The sequence below is a fragment of the Homo sapiens genome, chromosome X (assembly GCF_000001405.40).
Source record: "Homo sapiens chromosome X, GRCh38.p14 Primary Assembly".
In the NCBI taxonomy this organism is placed as follows: domain Eukaryota; kingdom Metazoa; phylum Chordata; class Mammalia; order Primates; family Hominidae; genus Homo; species Homo sapiens.
In genome coordinates this window covers 107,087,972-107,109,017 of record NC_000023.11, presented here as the reverse complement: position 1 = coordinate 107,109,017, position 21,046 = coordinate 107,087,972, and the positions used below count along the sequence as shown (strand labels likewise).

The window sequence follows — 21,046 nt, the reverse complement described above, 5'->3', positions numbered from 1 at the left end:
AACTTAATTTCAATTATATTAAAAAACTTTGTTTAGCTGTTCTCTACCTCCCATACTTTCTACTGTAATTGTCATACCAATTACATCTCAGAATGTGGCTTTTCATTGAAGTGCCAGGCAGGTCAAATAGTTCCATCCAGGTAAAATAGTGAAAATTCTCCAAGGATGGGGCTTTTATGGTGCTCCAGAACTGGTCTGCCACTCCAGTTTCAGATAGGCTGCTGGTTTTTGCAGCTTCTGTTGTTGCAAGGTTGTTGGTTTTCAAGGCTACTGCAAAGCTAGAGAAGGGGAGATGGGATGATGGAAAGTCGAAATGCTACAAACCTCACTGTTTAAGTTACATTCATCTCTTAGCATATGGATAGCCAATTGTCCTGGTGCCTTTAGTTGAAAAGACTATTCTTTTTCATTGAATTGTCTTAATATCTTTGTGAAAAATCAATTTACCATAAATGTAAGAGGCTTTTTAAAATGTTTTTTTCCTCTTCATTTTCAGCAATTTGATTATGCCATGTCTCTTCTGCACATGAGTTCTTTGTTAGTTCAAATTCTTGGTTTCTTACCCCTTCCTCCTGCTGCCATTCACTCTTCATAGCATTTAAATGTACCATACATTCTTTCCAGGTTTTATAACTTTATTCAATGGGAGTCACGGAGTGAAGTGTGCTAACTTCATCTTACCCACAAACAAGTCCTAATAGCTACTAATTTTGAGGACTTATTTGTGCCAGTCCTTGCTAAGTATTTTTGTAAATTATCACATTTAAACCTTACAGCACCCTATGAGATAGTACAGTATTATACCCAATTTACAGAAAATGAAATTGAGCTTCAGGGGGCATAAGTGATTTTCTTAAGATCACAATTATTAAGTGGCCATGCTGGGACTTAAATCCATGTTTGTCCTTACACAAAAGTCTGTACTTTTGTCCACAGCACTTGTATATGTGATTGGAAAAGATTTATTGGTTTATTAAGTGTGATTTTACTATATCTCGAGACAAACTTTTCTGGAGTTATACATATCCCATTTTCTAACCTTGAATCAGTGAGAAAGAAACATATATTATCTCTAGAAATATATTTCCTCTGAAATCTTCAACTATAGTATGGTACTCTCTGACTACAACCTTTCTCTTATCCTTCTGGCTCGCATAACTCTCTTAAATTCACATACCATCTCTTCAACCCTGTTTATATCTCCAGTTCCTTGACCTTTTAATTTTCTCCCAATCTGTCAGCCCCTTTCTATTTCTTCTTGCTTTCAAATCTCACTTAGACTCTATCATCCATTATTTAACCACCCATCTTGACAATGAATCATTCTCTTTGCTTCCTTGTCTATGTATCACATCCACCCAGCAAAACCTCAAACTCAAATCAACCAGACTAATTGCCTTCTCTATTTCTACATCATGGCTTCTGGGCACTGCTAGAAAGAAAACATAACTTTGTTGATTATTGCCTCTACAACTTTCTCGTCTCTGTTATTGGTTAGAGCCTCTCCCTTGTTCAACAATCTATCTCCTAGTCCCTAGTCAGCTCACTATTTCATTCCTTATAAATAGTATTTTAAATCCTCATTACTCTTTCCTTTCCTACTATTTTGTCATTTTTAACAGTCTTCCATCCTATTTCAAAGGAAACTGCCATCAGCAAGAACTTTCATCCATTTCCTGCTTCATGCTCTGCTAACTTCTGTATCCTCACCCTTGTTTTCTTCTCTCTTGACTCAGTGCTAGGGAAGTCCTTTCTGCTTAAGGCTAATGTGTATAATTTTGTGCTGGATCCTATCCCTTTTATCTTCCAAATAACTTCAGTCATCCCCAGTATTCCTTCTTTCTTTTTAGGGTTTTAACATGACTTGTATACTTGTCAGACTCCATGGTCTACATACGCTTACCATGAACTATCTAAAGAAAATGATAAAAATGAAAAATGTCTTTCAATTGATTAGCTACTTGAACAAATAATACATTTAGATTTTCCTCTTTTTTTATTATACTTTAAGTTTTAGGGTACATGTGTACAACGTGCAGGTTTGTTACATATGTATACATGTGCCATGTTGGTGTACTGCACCCATTAACTCGTCATTTAACATTAGGTATATCTCCTAATGCTATCCCTCCCCACTCCCCCCACCCCACAACAGGCCCCGGTGTATGATGTTCCCCTTCCTGTGTCCATGTATTCTCATTGTTCAATTCCCACCTATGAGTGAGAACATGCAGTGTTTGGTTTTTTGTCCTTGCAATAGTTTGCTGAGAATGATGGTTTCCAGCTTCATCCATGTCCCTACAAAGGACATGAACTCATCATTTTTTATGGCTACATAGTATTTCATGGTGTATATGGGCCACATTTTCTTAATCCAGTCTATCATTGTTGGACATTTGCATTAGTTCCAAGTCTTTGCTATTGTGAATAGTGCCGCAATAAACATACATGTGCATGTGTCTTTATAGCAGCATGTTTTATAATCCTTTGGGTATATACCCAGTAATGGGATTGCTGGGTCAAATGGTATTTCTAGTTCTGGATCCCTGAGGAATCGCCACACTGAATTCCACAATGGTTGAACTAGTTTACAGTCCCACCAACAGTGTAAAAGTGTTCCTATTTCTCCACATCCTCTCCAGCACCTGTTGTTTCCTGACTTTTTAATGATTGCCATTCTAACTGGTGTGAGATGGTATCTCATTGTGGTTTTGATTTGCATTTCTCTGATGGCCAGTAATGATGAGCATTTTTTCATGTGTTTTTTGGCTGCATAAATGTCTTCTTTTGAGAAGTGTCTGTTCATATCCTTCGCCCACTTTTTGATGCGGTTGTTTGTTTTTTTCTTGTAAATTTGTTTGAGTTGTTTGTAGATTCTGGATATTAGCCCTTTGTCAGATGAGTAGATTGCAAAAATTTTCTCCCATTCTGTAGATTGCCTGTTCACTCTGATGGTAGTTTCTTTCGCTGTACAGAAGCTCTTTAGTTTAATTAGATCCCATTTGTCAATTTTGTCTTTTGTTGCCATTGCTTTTGGTGTTTTAGTCATGAAGTCCTTGCCCGTGCCTATATCCTGAATGGTATTGCCTAGGTTTTCTTCTAGGGTTTTTATGGTTTTAGGTCTAACATGTAAGTCTTTAATCCATCTTGAATTAATTTTTGTATAAGGTGTAAGGAAGGGATCCAGTTTCAGCTTTCTACATATGGCTAGCCAGTTTTCCCAGCACTGTTTATTAAATAGGGAATCGTTTCCCCATTCCTTGTTTTTGTCAGGTTTGTCAAAGATCAGATAGTTGTAGATATGCGGCATTATTTCTGAGGGCTCTGTTGTGTTCCATTGGTCTATATCTCTGTTTTGGTACCAGTACCATGCTGTTTTGGTTACTGTAGCCTTGTAGTATAGTTTGAAGTCAGGTAGTGTGATGCCTCCAGCTTTTTCTTTTGGCTTAGGATTGACTTGGCAATGCGGACTCTTTTTTGGTTCCATATGAACTTTAAAGTAGTTTTTTCCAATTCTGTGAAGAAAGTCATTGGTAGCTTGATGGGGATGGCATTGAATCTGTAAATTACCTTGGGCAGTATGGCCATTTTCACGATATTGATTCTTCCTACCCATGAGCATGGAATGTTCTTCCATTTGTTTGTATCCTCTTTTATTTCCTTGAGCAGTGGTTTGTAGTTCTCCTTGAAGAGGTCCTTCACATCCCTTGTAAGTTGGATTCCTAGGTATTTTATTCTCTTTGAAGCAATTGTGAATGGGAGTTCACTCATGATTTGACTCTCTGTTTGTCTGTTATTGGTATATAAGAATGCTTGTGATTTTTGCACATTGATTTTGTATCCTGAGACTTTGCTGAAATTGCCTATCAGCTTAAGGAGATTTTGGGCTGAGACGGTGGGGTTTTCTAGATATACAATTGTGTCATCTGCAAACAGGGACAATTTGACTTCCTCTTTTCCTAATTGAATACCCTTTATTTCTTTCTCCTGCCTGATTGCCCTGGCCAGAACTTCCAACACTATGTTGAATAGGAGTGGTGAGAGAGGGCATCCCTGTCTTGTGCCAGTTTTCAAAGGGAATGCTTCCAGTTTTTGCCCATTCAGTATGATATTGGCTGTGGGTCTGTCATAGATAGCTCTTATTATTTTGAGGTACGTCCCATCAATACCTAATTTATTGAGAGTTTTCATTCAATGCAAAAATCCTCAATAAAATACTGGCAAACCGAATCCAGCAGCACATCAAAAAGCTTATCTACCATGATCAAGTGGGCTTCATCCCTGGGATGCAAGGCTGGTTCAACATATGCAAATCAATAAACGTAATCCAGCATATAAACAGAACCAGTGACAAAAACCATATGATTATCTCAATAGATGCAGAAAAGGCCTTTGACAAGATCTTCTTCTTTTACTGTATACCATAATAAGTAGCAGTTCGTTTAAAAAGTGAAATGTAAAAATTTAAGCCCTAAAAAAGATAATATTAAATAGATAATATAATATGTTAATATTTTTGATATCCTAATGGGAAAAGATTTTTTCTATTCTTTGTTTTCAGTGAAAATTTTCAAACACACAGAAAAGATGAAAGAATTTTATCACAAAGAACCATTATATTACCATCTGGAATCTACCATTAATATTTTGCCTTATCACAAATCTATCTATACCCATACCCATCTATCAATCCATCTTTATTAATGTATGTTAGAAAACCGCTGATGTAAATTCCTTCCCCCGAAATACTTCAGCATGTATACTGTTAATTAGAGTTAAATATTTATTAATGATTTTTCTTTTGTTGCAAAATTTGCAAGCAGTTAAATGTAAAGATCTTTCAAGTGTTCATTTGCTGACTTTTGACCGGTGTATAAATCTGTAGTGATATACTGGTAAATGTTTAACAACCAGGTCTCTGGCGGGGGGGTAGGGGAGGGGAGCGGGGAAAACAGGCCCTGATTTGTATCATTTGCCAGTTTCCAAGGTGTACATATTACCACCATAGCCAGTTTCAAGCTACCAATATGTTATCACTGAACATGGAATTGGGAATAAAGACAATCATCGGACCATCTCCAGGACACACTGCATCTGTGTAACCTAACCCCTATCAACACAGAAGATTACTATCACCACAGAAAGTCTCAGCATACTTCTTTCCAGTAATTCCCATCCTACCCTCTCAGAGGCAACTAGTGTTGTGATTTTTTTCCACCATAGATTAGTTTTGCTTGTTCTAGAACTTCATATAACTGGAATTGTACAGTATATGTTCTTTGTGTAAGGTTTCTTTAATTCAACATAATGTTTTTGGGATTCATTCATATTGTCGTATGTATCAATAGTTTGCCCTTTCTACAGCACAATTCTTAGAAGAGTTTTCTATAATTACTGTATTAGTTTCCTAGGGCTGCTGTAACAAATTATTATAAATCTGGTGGCTTAGAACAACAGAAATTTATCCTCTCCACAGTTCTGGAGGCTAGAAGTCTAAAATCAAAGGTGTCAGCAGGGCCATGCTCTCTCTGCAGGCTCTAGGAGAATATCCTTCGTTACTTCTTCTAGCTCTGGTAAGTTGCCAGCAATTCTTGGTGTTCCCTGGTTCATAGATGCATAATTCCTATCTCTGCCTCTGTCATCACATAGCATTCTCATGTATCTGTGTTTTCACAGTGCTCTCTTAAAAGGATATCAGTCATTGGATTTAGGCCCCACCCTAATCTAGTATTACTTCATCTTAATTTAACTACATCTGCAAAGACCCTATTTCCAAATATTTCACAGTCTGTGGCTTGAGGTGGACATGAATTTTAGAGGTATACTGTTCAACCTAGTACAGTCTGCCCTCTGGTGCCAAAAATTCACATCTATCCACGTGCAAAATACATAACATCCCCAAAAGTCTTAACCCATTCCAGCACCAAGTCTGAGTCCCAAATATCATCTAAATACCAACTCAAAAAGTCCTAAGTCTCATTATCTAAATCATCTATATCAGGTATAGGTGAGGTTCTGGATATGGTCCATCCTGGGGCAAAATTTCTCTCCATCCAGAGACTGGTGGAGCTAGAAAACAAGTTATCTGCTTCCAAAATAAAATAGTGGGACAGGCATAAGGTAGACATTACCATTCTGAAAGGGCAAAAATGAGGGAATAAAGGGGTTACTGGTCTAAAGCAAGTTTGTAGCCTAGCATGGCAAATTCCATTAGTTTTCAAGGCCTATGAGTAATATTCTGGGCTCAGTGCTTTGTCCACTGGGCCCATATACTCAGTCTATCAGGGCAGCTATAGCCCCATCCTCTCTGGCCTCTATGTCTGTGGCTTTGCTCTTGTAATCATCCTTCCTTTGTCCTGTCTCTGTCTCTTTCACACCAGGCTGGCACTGGTGGTTTTTGCTGGTATAAGATTCTCAAAAACATTGTCAGTCTCATATATGTCAAGAGATTTACACCATTAGACATGAGGTTTCTCTACAGATTCTTCCTAGATAACCCCATCTGTATTCCTGGCTTCTGCTGAGGTGGTTGATTGGATCCTAACACCCTAACACTTAATCTCTTCAATGAAAGTTTGTCCATCTATACTGTTGGCCCTGTTTCCAGAGCACGCTATCTGTATAGGCTGAGAATTTTCCCAATCATCAAGTGTTGTCCCCTTTTTTCTTAACAGTTCCTTCTTCAATTTTCCTCTGTCCTCTTTTATTTTATTATAAGCATCAGGGAGAAACTAGCCTGCATCTTCCACACTTTGCCCATTCATCTCCTTAGTGAAATATCAGTTTGTCACTTTTAAGTTAAACTTTTTGCCCAACAGTAGAACTCAATTCAGCCAAGTTTCTGCCACTTTATAACAAAGATTGCCTTTCCTCCAGTGTCTAATAACATGTTCATCATTTCCTTCTAAGGCCTTGCCAGAAGTACCTTTAACATTTATACCTCTAGCAACATTTTGTTCATGATTACGTGTATGTAATCATGAACACATATATTCTCTAAGGTAATAGCAGCTTTCTCTACTGTCTCTTTACTTCTTTCTGAGCCCTTACCAGAATTGCCTTTAACATCCGTATTTCTACCAACAATCTCCTCAATGTAATATAGGCTTTTACCATCAAGCAGCTCAAAATTCTTCCAGCCTCTACTCATTACCCAATTCTAAATCCAATTCTACATTTTTAGGTATTTGTTAAAGCAGCATCTTACTTCCCAGTACCAGTGGTACTTTGTTATGGCAGACCTAGGAATCTAATACAGACTTTGGTACTGGGAAGTAGGATGCTGCTTAAAGTGAATGGCTTAAAACAACAGAAAGTTATTCCCTCACAGTTGTGGAGGCTACAAAATCAAAATGTTGGCAAGGTTGGGTCCTTCTAGTGGCTCTGAGGGAGAATTTGTTCCATGCCTCTTTCTTAGCTTCTGGTGTTTGCTGGCAGTTCTTAGATTATCTCTCTAATCTCTGCCTCTGCCATCACATGGCATTCTGGTTGTTGACTGTATCTGTCTCTGTATCTTCACATGTCCTTCTTATAAGGACATCAGTCATTGGACTCAGAGCCTACCCTGTGACTTCACCTTAACTAATTATATCTGCAAAGACCCTATTTCCAAATAAGGTCATATTCTTAGGTTCTGGGTAGACATGAATTTTGGGAGGATTCTATTTAACCCAGTACATTTACTTGTTGCCGCTTGTTCACCTCTCATTCACTTTTTTTGCAAACGATCTCTTTATAGTGAGATAGATCATGACAAACAGCACTTAAAACATTTTTAATCAGATCAAGAAACAGAACATGCCGATACTCCAAAAATCCCCATATGTCCCTCACAAATCACAACCCTCTTCCCACTAGATATAACTACTGCCCTAACTTGTGATAATTTCCTTATTTTTCTTTATATCTTTACCACCCATACATGCAGCACTAGACAGTCTGGTTTGGTTTTGCCTGTGCTTAAGCATTGTGTCAGTGAATTATACTGTATGTATTCTATTGGGTCTTCCTTTTCTACTCAATATTGTGGTGTTTTCTGGCAATTATATTTGAGATATTCGTACATATTGCTATGTGTAGCCATAGTTCATTTTCATTGAAGTATAGTATAGTATTCCTTTATATGAACATACCATAGTTTATCCATTCTACTGTAGTTGCACATTTGGGTTGTTTCCATTTGGGGGGCTGTATATATCACTTCTGCCACTGTGATCTTTCTTGTACATGTTTTCTGGGACACGTGTGCAGGAGTTTCTCAGGGTATATATCTAGGAGTGGAATTGGGTGGTGAAGTGTTCACATTGTCTTCAACTTTAATAGCTGTTAACTAATTTCTGAAGGGATTCCCCCAAGTTAAAATTCCACCAGCCATGTGGAAATGTTTAGGTTGCTCTACATCCTTGTCCACAACAGATATCGTCAGACTCTAATCTGATGAGTATTTACTTGTATTTTGTTGTGCTTTTTTCCCTTTATTATTAGTTAACATTTATTTATGTTACTTTTTTTTTCTTTTTTTTTTTTTGAGACAGAGTCCACTGTGTCGCCCAGGCTAAAGTGCAGGGGCATGATTTCAGCTCACTGCAACCTCCACTTCCCAGGTTCGAGCAATTCCCGTGCCTCAGCCTTCCGAGTAGCTGGGATTACAGACGTTTGCCATCACCCCTGGCTAATTTTTATATTTTTAGTACAGACTAGAAATACAAAATATTCACCAGGGACAGTGGCACACGCCATGTTGGCCAAGCTAGTCTGGAACTCCTGACCTCCAGTGATCCACTCACCTCAGCCTCCCAAAGTGTTGGGATTGTAGGCATGAGCCACCACACCTGGCCAATTTATGTTACTTTTTTTAAAGCCTTTAGTCAAGTGTTATTTTCCTCAACCTTTTATTTTGGAAAATATCAAATGTGGAGAAAAGTTGAAAGAATACACCCACACCCTTCACCTGCGTTCACCAACTGTTGACAACTTGCCACATTTGCTTTACCTCTCTTCCTCCATATGAGTGTATGTGTATGTAGTTTGTTTACTGATAAACTATTTGGAGTAAGTTTCAGAAATAAGAAGGATTTACTCCTAAATACTTAATTGTGTATCTCCTAAGAACAAAGACATTCTCCTGTGCAATCACAGTATAATGATCACTCTTAAGAAATTTAACATTGCTTCTCTAATGTTGCAATCAGGTTTCTCAATTATAAATCCGGAATACAATTGGAGATCACACATTACACTTAGTTTGCTTTAGAACAGTTCCCCGAACAGTTCCCCTGCCTTCGTGTTCGTGTGTGTGTGTGTGTGTGTGTGTGTGTGTGTGTGTGTACCTTTCAGGATGTCATTTTAAGAGTCTGAGCCTATATTGTTTGTTTGTTTCATTGTGGTTTTAATTTCATTCTTGATAACTAGTGATGTTGGATACCTTCTTACACATTGACTGGCCATTTGGACAGCCTGCTTTGTGAAATGGCTATTCAGTTCTTTTGCCCATTTAGCAAATGTGAAAATGCCTATTTACTATCTGAATGTCTTTCCGTCTGTTTGTATCTTTGTCCAGATGCAGTCTTGGTTCAGAGGTCACTTTAGGCATCTATCAAAACAATAGCTTGTGAATCTTGAAGTCAGCAGATAAATAACTTTAAAGACAAAATAACCAATGGGTGAACACCAAAGCACTAAGATATAGCACATCTCAGTTATTGCCACCTCTCTACAGGAAGGAAGGAGGTAGGAAAGTGTTGAGGTTATACATCCTGAATACTCTGTATCCAATTTTTCTCTAATCATAGGTGCATTTTCTTATAAATTTGTACCAGTCTTTTTATTATTATGGATACTTGTTCTGTGTTGGTAATATATGTTGAAAATGTATATTCCAATTCTGTAGTTTATCATTTCACTGCCTTTATGGTATCTTTTGGTAAACAACAGTTGTTGATCTCTATGTAATAAAATTTATTAATTTTTTCTTTATACTTAGTGGTTTTGTGCTTTGATTAATAAATCCTTTTTTTTTTCTGAGACAAAGAGTCTTCCCCTGTCACCCAGGCCGCAGTGCAGTGGCCTGGTTCACTGCAACCTCCGCCTCCTGGGTTCAAGCAGTTCTCATGCCTCAGCCTCCCAAGTAGCTGAGATTACAGATATGCGCCACCACGGCCAGCTAATTTTTGTATTTTTAGTAGAGGTGGGGTTTTACCACGTTGGCCAGGCTGGTCTCGAACTCCTGACTTCTGGTGATCTGCCCTCCTTGGCCTCCCAAAGTGCTGGGATTACAGGCATGAGCCACCGCGCCTGGGCCTGATACTGTTCTTTATTCTAAAAGCTTTATGTTTTTTGCCTTTCACATTTAAGTCTTTAATCCACCTGGAATTGATTTATGTATGTGGTATAAAGTAGGGTTCCAGTTCCTTTTTTCCCTCATGTAGATAGCCTTCTAACACCAAATATTGAAAATGTCTAGACTGTTATTGTGTTGCAATATCAGGTGTTCATATATGGATGGATATTCTGTCATATATCAGGTGTTCATATATGAATGAATTTTTTTTTGATTCTCTCTTTTGTTCCTTTGTCTTTTTGGCTATTTTAGAATCAATATCATACAGTCTAGCTTTATGATGTTTTAGTATCTGGAGAATAATTCTTTCCAACTTGTTTTTCTTCAAAAGTGTTTTGTCTACTTTTGACACTTTGCCTTTCCATGTAAATTTGAAAATCTATGAAGTTACACATGCACACATACCTTTATATGATTTTGATTGGGATTCCATCGAGCATTTAAGTCAATTGAGGTCAATTGACATATCTATGAGTCTTCAAATCTTCAAATGTGAACATGGTACCTTTCCATTAATTTAATTATCCTTTAATGACTTTCAGTACATTTTCTGTTTTCTATTTCTTCTCACCTTTTGTGATTCTGAATAATTTGTTTATTTTTAAACTGCTTTATTGAGGTATATAATTTATACATGATAAAATCCACCTATTGTAAGTGTTCAATTCAGTGATTTTTAGTAAATTTATAGAATTGTGCTATCAAATCCAGAGTCCAATTTTAGGACATTTCCATCACCCGGGGCAAAATTCCCTAGGGCTCATTGGCAGTAAATGACTCCCACATACACCCCAAGCCTTTGTTTCCATAAATTTGTCTTTTCTAGATACTTCATAATGAATGGAATCTTACAATACGTGGTCTTTTGAATCTGGCTTCTTTCAGGAACCATAATGTTTTGGAGGTTCTCCATGTTGTGGCATGTATCAGCAATTTGTTCCTTTATATAGCTAGTTTTTTTATTTTACAGCTTTATTAGTCTGTTCTCAGACTGCCATAAAGAAATACTGGAGACTGGATAATTTTTAAAGGAAAGAGGTTTAATTGACTCACAGTTCTGCGTGGCTGAGGAGGCCTCAGGAAACTTAAAATCATAGCGGAAGGGGAAGCAGACACCTTCTTCACAAGGTGGCAGGAGAGAGCGTGTGTGTGAAGGAGGAACTGTCAAACATGTATAAAACCATCAGATCTTGTGAGAATGAACTCACTATCACAAGAACAGCATAGGGGAAACCGCCCCCATGATCCAGTCACGTCCCACTAAGTCCCTCCCTTGACACGTGGGGATTATGGGGATTACAATTCCAGATGAGATTTGGGTGGGGACACAGAGCCAAACCATGTCAATAGATATACCGCATTGTTTAATCTTTTCACCACTTGATGACATTTATGTTGTTTCCACTTTTAGCTATTATCAATAATGTTGCCGTGAACATTTGTATGAACATGTTTTCATTTCTCTTGAATGAGTAGAATTTCTGTGTCCTACAGTAATTCCGTGTATAACCAATTTGAGGAATTGACTATTTCCTAATGTGGTTGTATCATTTTACTGTCTCATCAGCAATGTATGAGTTCTTATTTCTCTGCATCCTTGCCAATACTTGTTATTACCTGTCTTTTATTACAGCCATTTCAGTGTGTGTACTGATAGCTCATTGCAGTTTTATTTTGAATTTCTGTAATAACAAATGATCTTGAATACTTTTTCATCTGCTCATTAGCCATCAATATGTCTTTTTTGGTGAAATGTCTATTCAAGTCTTTTGCCCATTTTTTGATTGGGTTGTTTCTGAGTATAAGAATTCTTTATTCTGAATACAAGTCCTTTATAAGGTATATATATGATTTGCAAATGTTTTCTTCCAGTCTGTAGCTTGTCTTTATTTTCTTAATGGTGTCTTTTGAAGCACAGAAGTTTTTAATTTTAATGAAGTTCAATTCATTATTTTATGGCTTGTGCTTTTGGTGTCATATCTAAGAAATCATTGCTGAACTCAAGGTCAGAAAGATATTCTATTTTTTTTTCTGGAGTACTTATAGTCTTAGATTTTACATCTAGATATATTATACATTTGAGTTGATTTTTATGTGTGAAGTAAAGGGTCCAAGTTCATATTTTTGTATATGGATGTCCAGTTGTTCCAGCACTATTTAAAGGCTGTTATTTTTCCCATTGTCTTGGCACCTTTGTGGAAAAATCAATTGACCATAAATGTAAGGCTTTATTTCTGGACACTCAACTTGGTTCCATTGATCTATATGCCTATCCTTATACTCTAAATCTTTTTACTGTACCTTTATAGTAAGTTTTGAAATTGGGTAGTATGACTCCTCCAACTTTGTTTCTCTTTTTTAAAATCACTCTTTTCTATTCTAGGTGCTTTGTATTTCCATGTAAATTTTAGAAACAGCTTGCCAATATTTTAAGAAAAATAAGCCTGCTGGAATTTAATAAGGATTGAGTTGAATCTATAATTCAATTTGGAGAAAACTGATCTTTAATCATTAATCTTTTAATACAAGAAAATAGAATGTCTCTTCCTTTGTTTAGATCTTCTACAATTTATTTCAGCATTGTTTTGTAGTTTTTAAGTTACATTTATTTTATCAAACTTAATCTTATGCTTTCTTTATTGAATTTATTTATTATTTTTTAGAGACAGGGTCTTGTTCTGTATTCCAGGCTGAAGTGCAGTGACACAATCATAGCTCGCTGCAGCCTCCAACTCCTGAGCTCAAGGGATCCTCTTGCCTCAGCCTCCCGAATAGCTAGGACTACAGGTGCATGCCACCATGCTTGGCTAATTGTTTTTAAAATTTTGTTTAGAGATGGGGTCTCACTGTGTTGCCCAGGCTGGTCTCAAACTCCTGGCCTCAAGTGACCCTCCCACATCATCCTCTCAAAGCACTGGGATTACAGGTATGAGCCACCACACCCAGCCTTTTGAATTTATTTCTAAGCATTTTAATGATTTTCATGTTCTTGTGAATAGAATTGTTTTCACATTTCATTTTCCAATTGTTGCATGCAATTATATAGAAATTGAGTTGATATTTCTTTTTTCTTTTTTTTTTTTTAGATGGAGTCTTGCTTGGTCACCCAGGCTGGAGTGCAGTGGCACTGTCTCGGCTCACTGCAATCTCCGCCACCTAGGTTCAAGCGATTCTCCTGCCTCAACCTCCTGAGTAGCTGGGATTGCAGGCATGTGCCACCACGCCTGGCCAATTTTTGTATTTTTAGTAGAGACAGAGTTTCACCATATTGGCCAGGCTGTTCTCAAACTCCTGACCTCAGGTGATCCTCCCTCTTCAGCCTCCCATAGTGGTGGGATTACAGGCATGAGCCACTATGCCTGGCCTAAAGTTGATTTTTCTATATTAATTTGTATCCTGTGACTAAACTCTTTTATTCTAAAAGTTTTATTATGGATACCTTAAAGTTTTCTACATAGACAATCCTATTTCCTGTGAATAAAGACACTTCTTTCTTTCCAGTTTGGAGGATTTTTTTTTTTTTTTTTTTGCCTCCTTATACTGTCTGGAACCTTCAGTACAATGTTGAATGGAAGTGGTGAGAGCTAACATCCTTACCTTGTTCCCAGTCTTAGGGGAAAAGTATTCAGTTTTTAACCATTAAGTATGATCTTAGCTCTGGGTTTTCTGCACATGCTCTTTGGCAGTGTATTACTTTCCTATGAAAAGAAAAGTAATTAGTATGTAACTAATTACCGTATATTTAGTGGCTTAAACAATATAAATTTCTGCCCTTATAGTTCTAGAGGTCAGAAATCTTAAGATGTCAACAGGACTGCATTTCTTTTAGAGGCTCTGGTTGAGCCTTGTCCAGATCCTAGAGGTTACCTGCATGCCTTGGCTCTTGACCCCTTCCTCACATTATCCTCTGCATACATCATCACATCTCCCATTCTGTCTCTGACCTTCTTGCTTCCTTCTGATAAGGACCCTTATGATTGCATTGGTCCCACCTGCATAATCCAGAATCATCTTCCTATCTCAACCTTAACATGATCACATTTGCAAATTCCCCTCTGCAGTATAATTTAACATTTTCACAGATTCCAGGGATTAGGATGTGGACATCTTTGGGGGGCCATTATTCAGCCTACCATAAGCAGGTTGAAGATGCTCCCTTCTAGTGTCAGTTAATTGAGCTTTTAAAAAATTATAAATGGGTATTGGATTTTGTTTAATGCTTTTTCTGCACCTACTGTGATGATCATGTGATTTAAGATTTAATCTATTGATTTTTAGATGTTACACCAATCTTTCATTTCTGGGATAAATCCCACTTATGTGTGTGTGATTATTTTGTATGTTGCTGGATGAGGCTTGCTAATATTTTATTAGGTATTTTTGCATCTATATTCATGAGGAATATTGGTCTGTGGTTTTCTTGTAATATCTTTGTTTAGTTTTGTTATCAGTGTAATACTGATATCATAGAATGAATTGGAAAGTATTTCCTTCTCTTCCCTTTTCTGAAGTGTTTCTGCAGGATTAGTATTATTTCTTTAAGTATTTGATAGAATTTACCAATGAAGCCATTTGGACCTGGGTTTTTCTTTGTGGGTTGTTTATTGAGTACTAATGCACCCTCTTGTTATTCGTTTTTTCTTTGAGACTGCTTTGGTAATTTGTATCTTTCTATGAATTTGTCCATTTATCTAGGTTTCCTAATTTGTTGGCCTAAAGTTATTTATAATATTCCTAAATAATTGTTTTTCATTCCCTAAAGTTAGTAGTGATGCTTCCTCTTTAATTATTGATTTTAGTCATTTTTGTCTTCTCTCTTACTTTCTTGTTCAGTCTAGGTAAAGGTTTGTCATTTGTTAAACTTTTCAAAGAACCAGCTTTTGGTTTTGTTGATTTTTCTCTATTTTTCCATTTTCTATTGCGTTGATTTATTTCTTAATCTTTATTGTTTTCTTCCTTCTACTTGCTTTCTGTTTAGTTGACTCTTTTTCTAGTTTCCTAACTTGGAAGCTCAGGTTTTAAATTTGAAACCATTCTTCTTTTCCAATACAGGCATTTAAAGCTTTAACTGTCTATCATATGGATGCAGCATTGTTTTAGCTGCATCCATAAATTTTGATATGTTGTGTTTTCATTTTCATTGAGGTCAAAATATTTTTAAATTTCCTTTATGAGTTCTTTGACCCATGGGTTATTTAGAAGTTTGTTGTTCAATTTCCAGATATTTGTGTTTTCCCGTTTCTTACAGTAGTGGATCACTAATGTATGTCCATTGTGGTTACAGAACATACTTTATATGATTTCAGTCTTTTTTAGTTTTTTTGAGACATACTCCTACCTTGAGACCTTACTCTAATATCAGTATGATAGATGCCCTTGCTTTTTTCAGGTCTTCACTCAAATAGCACCTTCTCAATGGGACCTATCCAGACCAACATTAAAAATTACAACCACCCCATAGCTCTTCCAATCTTATCTTGTATTTTTTTTCTTTTTTATAGCACTCCTACCTTCTAACATGCCATGTAATTCACTTAGCTCTACAAAGGGAGGAATCCTTATTTATTGATGCATCCTTAATTATTTTTTAGTGTATTTATTAATCTATTCATCCACTTGGACATATGTAGCTGAAATTTGTTCACTTTCTTTGGATGATAGTATTTCATCATATAAACGTACCAGAATTTTATAATTAATTCTTCTTAGATGAACATTTGTATTTTTGCTAACTCTGGGCAATTATAAATAGCAATGATCTGAAAATTCTTATTATTGTGTCCTGGTGCATATATGCCTACATTTTTCTAAGGTATATATGTGGGAGTTGAATTGATGGATTGTATGTTGAGCATATCTTCAACATTAGTAGATGATGTCATGTTGATTTGCACTGTGTATACACATTCCCACTAGCAATATGTGAGGGTACCAGTTGCTCTACAACTTCACTGACATGTAATGTTGGCATTCTTTTTAATTTTTGCCAATATGTTGGTTTTCTATTAGTATCTTATACCCTTCCTAATTTGCATTTCCCTGAATTCTAATGTGGCTGAGCACTTTTGTATATATTTATTTTATTATTTTTTTTAATTTAGAGACAGAGTATCACCATGTTGCCCAGGCTGGTCTTGAACTCCTGGGCTCAAGGAACTTTCCTCCTGCCTCAGCCTCCCAAGTGCTGGGATTACAGGCATGAGCCACCACGCCTGGCCCACATATATTTATTAGCTATGTGTATTTCCTCTTTTGTAAGGTATCTCTTCAGTATTTTGCCCATTTTCCTAATGGTTGTTCATCTTTTTCTTATTGATTTGTAGGAGTTATTCATGTATTTTAGTTTTAAGTTCTCTGATAATTCTTTGTGTAGCAAATATCTTTTCCTATCCTGTGGGGTTTTTTTTTTTTGGTCCATCTCTTTATGACATCTCGATGAACAGAAGTTCTTAATTTTAATGTAGTTGAATTTATCAATCTTTTCCTTAATGGTTAGTGCTTTTTGTGTCTTAGGAAATACTTACATAACTACTCCTATGCCTTGCTGGTGGAAATATAGAATAGTATAACTCCTACAGCGTGAAATTTAACAATACATAGAAAAATTACATACACATTTGCCCTTTGTCTCAGCAGTTTCACTTCAGGGAATCTATTTTAAACATATACTTGAAAAATACCAAATCCTGTATGCACAAAGCTGTTTATCAGGACATTATTCATAACAGTATGAGACTAGATATAAGACCAACGTGTATCAGGAGGGGAATAGTTAAATAAACTATGGTACATCCACACAATGGAGTACTGTGCAGCTTTACGAAGGAATGAGAAGAGCTCTACACATTAACATGGAACTATCTCCAGGACATATTGTTAAGTGCAAAAAAGTAAATTGTAGAACAGTGCTTATAGTAAGTTACTTTTTATGTAGGAGAGAGGTATAACTAATGAATTATGTATATGTGTATATATGCCTATTTGCTTATATTTTCAAAAAAGAAACAATGGAACCATAAGCCAAAACCTAATAAAAATTATTATTTATGGGGAATGAAGGGAATGGGATAAAGGGGACAGAGATGGAAGTGAGACTTCTGTGAAGGTACTGTATAACAGTTTCACTTTAGATCCATGTAAATATTTTGCATCATCTAAAAGTTTAATCAAAAAGGTAAAATTCAATCCCTAAAATTCAAAAACAACCTGAAGCAAATGAGCCTAATGATAAATAAAGTTAGTAGCATAAACACACAATTGGAAAACAAAGCAGTTACTTATAGTGACTTTAAAACATTTGTATATTTCCAATGGGACCCATATTCTAAGGGCAAAAGTAACTGCAAAAGAAATATAAAACTATATTCAGCAGTTTTATTGGTGATAGTATTGTTATTGACATTGTAAAATTCTGTAAGTATATTGTAGGAAGAAGCTAATGAATAATTTTGCTAATATTAAGCATATGAGAGGAGATACACTCTAAAATAAAGGAGTTTAAGTAAAAATCTTGTTATCTTAAATTTGAGTTGGAAATACCAATATAAACTCATGGTTTACTTTTCTCTTTAAAAATGTCCCTCTTGCTCAACAAACTAACACAAGAACAGAAAACCAAACACCGCATGTTCTCACTCATAAGTGGGAGTTGAACAATGAGAACACATGGACACAGGGAGGGGAACATCACACACTGGGGCCTTTCGGGGGGTGGAGGGAAAGGGGAGGGAGAGCATTAGGACAAATACCTAATGCACGCGGGGCTTAAAACTTAGATAATGGGTTGATAGGTGCAGCAAACCACCATGGCACATGTATACCTATGTAACAAAACTGCATATTCAGCACATGTATCCCAGAACTTAAAGTAAAATTTAAAAAAAAATAAATAAAATAAAATAAAACCATTCTAGTGGATCATTTTAAAAAAAATGTCCTAGCTTTTGTCCACTGAAAAGGCCTGGAAACAACAACTTGGAAGTTGCTTCTGCACACACCAGCAACACACTTTGGTTTCTAAATACCACTTCCTACTAAAAGGAACCAAGGGTCCCTACAAAAATATTCCAGGTTTGAGTTAGGAGGTATGCAAGATGAGCTTAGGATATTTGGCTGTGCCAGAAAGCCGAGAAGCAATACAGGAGCCGATTTGAAGGGGCTCCCACTGGTCTTAAGTGGGATAATTTGGCCACTAAAAAGAATAATGAGTATGTTTAATTGACACAGATAAAGTATATGAAAATACACGATTTCATTATTATACTAAAAATAACCATTGGTCACCATTGGACATTTTTTTTGTTTTGAGATGGAGTCTCACTCTGTCGCCCAGGCTGCAGTGCAGTGGCGCGATCTCGGCTCACTGCAACCTCCGCTTCCCAGGTTCAAGCAATTCTCCTGCCTCAGCCTCCCGAGTAACTGGGACTACAGGCACCCGCCACCATGCCCGGCTAATTTTTGTATTTTTAGTAGAGATGGGGTTTCACCATATTGGCCAGGCTGGTCTCAAAGTCCTGACCTTGTGACCCGCCTGCCTCGGCCTCCCAAAGTGCTGGGATTGCAGGCATGAGCCACCACGCCCGGCCTCCATTAGACATTTCTAAGATGTCAACTCTTACTCTCATAATTGGTAAATAATGGCAAAGAATCAAGCATTTATCCTGCCATTCCCATATGATCTACATTTTTAGGGAAACCACATAGTTGATGATGGTAAGTTCATTTTAGAATTACGGATAATAAGCGTAAAAGAAAGAATTAGGAAAGCCATGATTTGCAACTCTTAATAAATTAATAGACTAGGCAGTGGTCATCAGTGGATGTAAAAAACCCATTAGGTGGAAGGTGAATGGGAAAATTTAATAATGGAGGGATGAGACTAATGCCATCTACCACCTCAATCCACTGATCAATTTCAGTATCACTAAAAATAGGACCACCAAACGTTATGTGTCTTATGACATGATACAATAGGAAGTACATATCTGTCTATAAAGGATTATTTCCTAAAAATATTGAACCTGAACCTAATCAAACCTCTGGATCAGCACTGTCCAATGCAACTTTCTAAAATGATGTAATAGTTTTTATCTGTTCTGTCCAATATGGTATCCACTAGCCACATGTGACTGTCGAACACTTTAAATTTGTTAAGTTCGGCTGAGGAGCTGATATTTAAAAATTTATTTAAATAGACACATGTGACCAGTGGCTACTATATTAGGTAGCATAGTTATGGATTATCTGCCAAGAAATAGAAGGGATTAAGGAACAAGTTAAACAACACCATCAGAAAATGATTAATCAAATTCATTTGTTCATAGAACAAATGTAGTTTATTTAATCAATGGATGAGTGAGAAAATGAAATAAAGGGATGGGAGAGACGAGGCACTGTTTTAGAATAAAAGTATCTTAAGAGATATAACAGCCAAAGGCTAGTTTAGATTTTGAATTGAATAAACAAGTATAAAAAAATCTTAGATGGAATCAGGACAATTTGAACATAACATTGGTATTAGATGATACTAAGGAATTATTAATTTTGTGAAGTATAATGCTATATTGCTTATATGTTTTTAAATGTCCTTATCAATTAGAGGTGCATATATTTGCATGACTCTAGGTGCCTCACTTGCCTCACCATAGTTCTGGCCTATAGTTCTGCTTGAAATATACTATAATAAGATAACTATTTACCATTGTCATTTGTCACAGGTTGTAAAGACCTGCCCCAGCAGTGTTTCTTTATCTGAGGTCCAGGATTTAATTTTTATTAATTTGCCAAAGGTTGTATTGGTAGGCTTTGTAGAACTTCCCTATCTCTTTGTCTTGATCCAGATGAACCCCAAAAGAAGAACAAAGGTGATCCCATGAACAACCTGGAAAGTTTTTACCAAGAGATGATAATGAAAAAACGTCTTGAAGAGTTTCAACTTATGAGAGGTGAACCCTTTGCTTCCCACTCACTGGTCTCAGCTACATCAGTGGGTGATAGTGGCACAGCTGAGAGCCCATCATTACTCCAGGACAAGGGAAAACAGGCAGCACAGGGTAAAGGCCCCAGTCTCCATGTGGCAAATGTTATTGATTTTTCACCTGAGCAGTGTTGGACTGGGCCTAAGAAGCTGACGCAGCCAATAGAATTTGTCCCAGAAGATGAAATCCAGAGAAATCGTTTGTCAGAGGAAGAGATCCGAAAAATTCCTATGTTTTCTTCATATAATCCAGGGGAACCAAACAAGGTATAGGCCAAACCAAGTAAAACAACCTGGGTTGATTTCGCTTTTATTTACCTCTACCTAAAGTAATACTTTTAAATTAGCTTTGATTATACCAAAGAATCATGATATAGGCACAGTGATTGTGTTTGTCCTTGACCTTGACTATTCATTCTCTGCATACTATATAAGTAGCATATTTCCTATAAGGTTCTTGGTACTTTGCTAAGGTCCTGAACTATCCTTAGCGTTTTAAAGAAATCTTGATAAGACTCTAGTCCATACCCATTAGAAGCCCCGAATTGAAGGAATAGTAACATCCAATTTCCTACAGTGTAATAATCAAATAGTGTTCATAGGACCACCATAGCTGGTAGCCTTGGTGCCTCTGGAATTAGCCAATAATTGACTGCCTGGTCGTGAGTTGGGTATATGCTACCACATGAGTCTTCTCTTCAGAATGCTCTACCTGGCTGTCATATGACATA

At 36.7% G+C, this 21,046-nt stretch overlaps 1 protein-coding gene across 30 annotated transcripts in view; it reads left to right on the top strand.

The window, feature by feature from the left end:
- The window catches only part of RBM41 (RNA binding motif protein 41), a 66,721-nt gene that overhangs the window by 9,805 nt on the left and 35,870 nt on the right, over positions 1 to 21,046 (top strand). For 15 of the 30 annotated variants that reach the window (NM_001394122.1, NM_001394121.1, NM_001171080.2 and 12 more), the window contains one exon: positions 20,179 to 20,582. The exons of 9 other annotated variants lie outside the window; for them this stretch is intronic. In NM_001394122.1, the coding sequence (NP_001381051.1) occupies positions 20,179 to 20,582 (404 nt within the window). Of the gene's footprint in view, positions 1 to 20,127; positions 20,583 to 21,046 lie in introns of all 30 variants that reach the window. 6 more of the 30 variants (NR_136730.2, NR_136731.1, XM_047442242.1 and 3 more) reach the window with 2 other exon arrangements.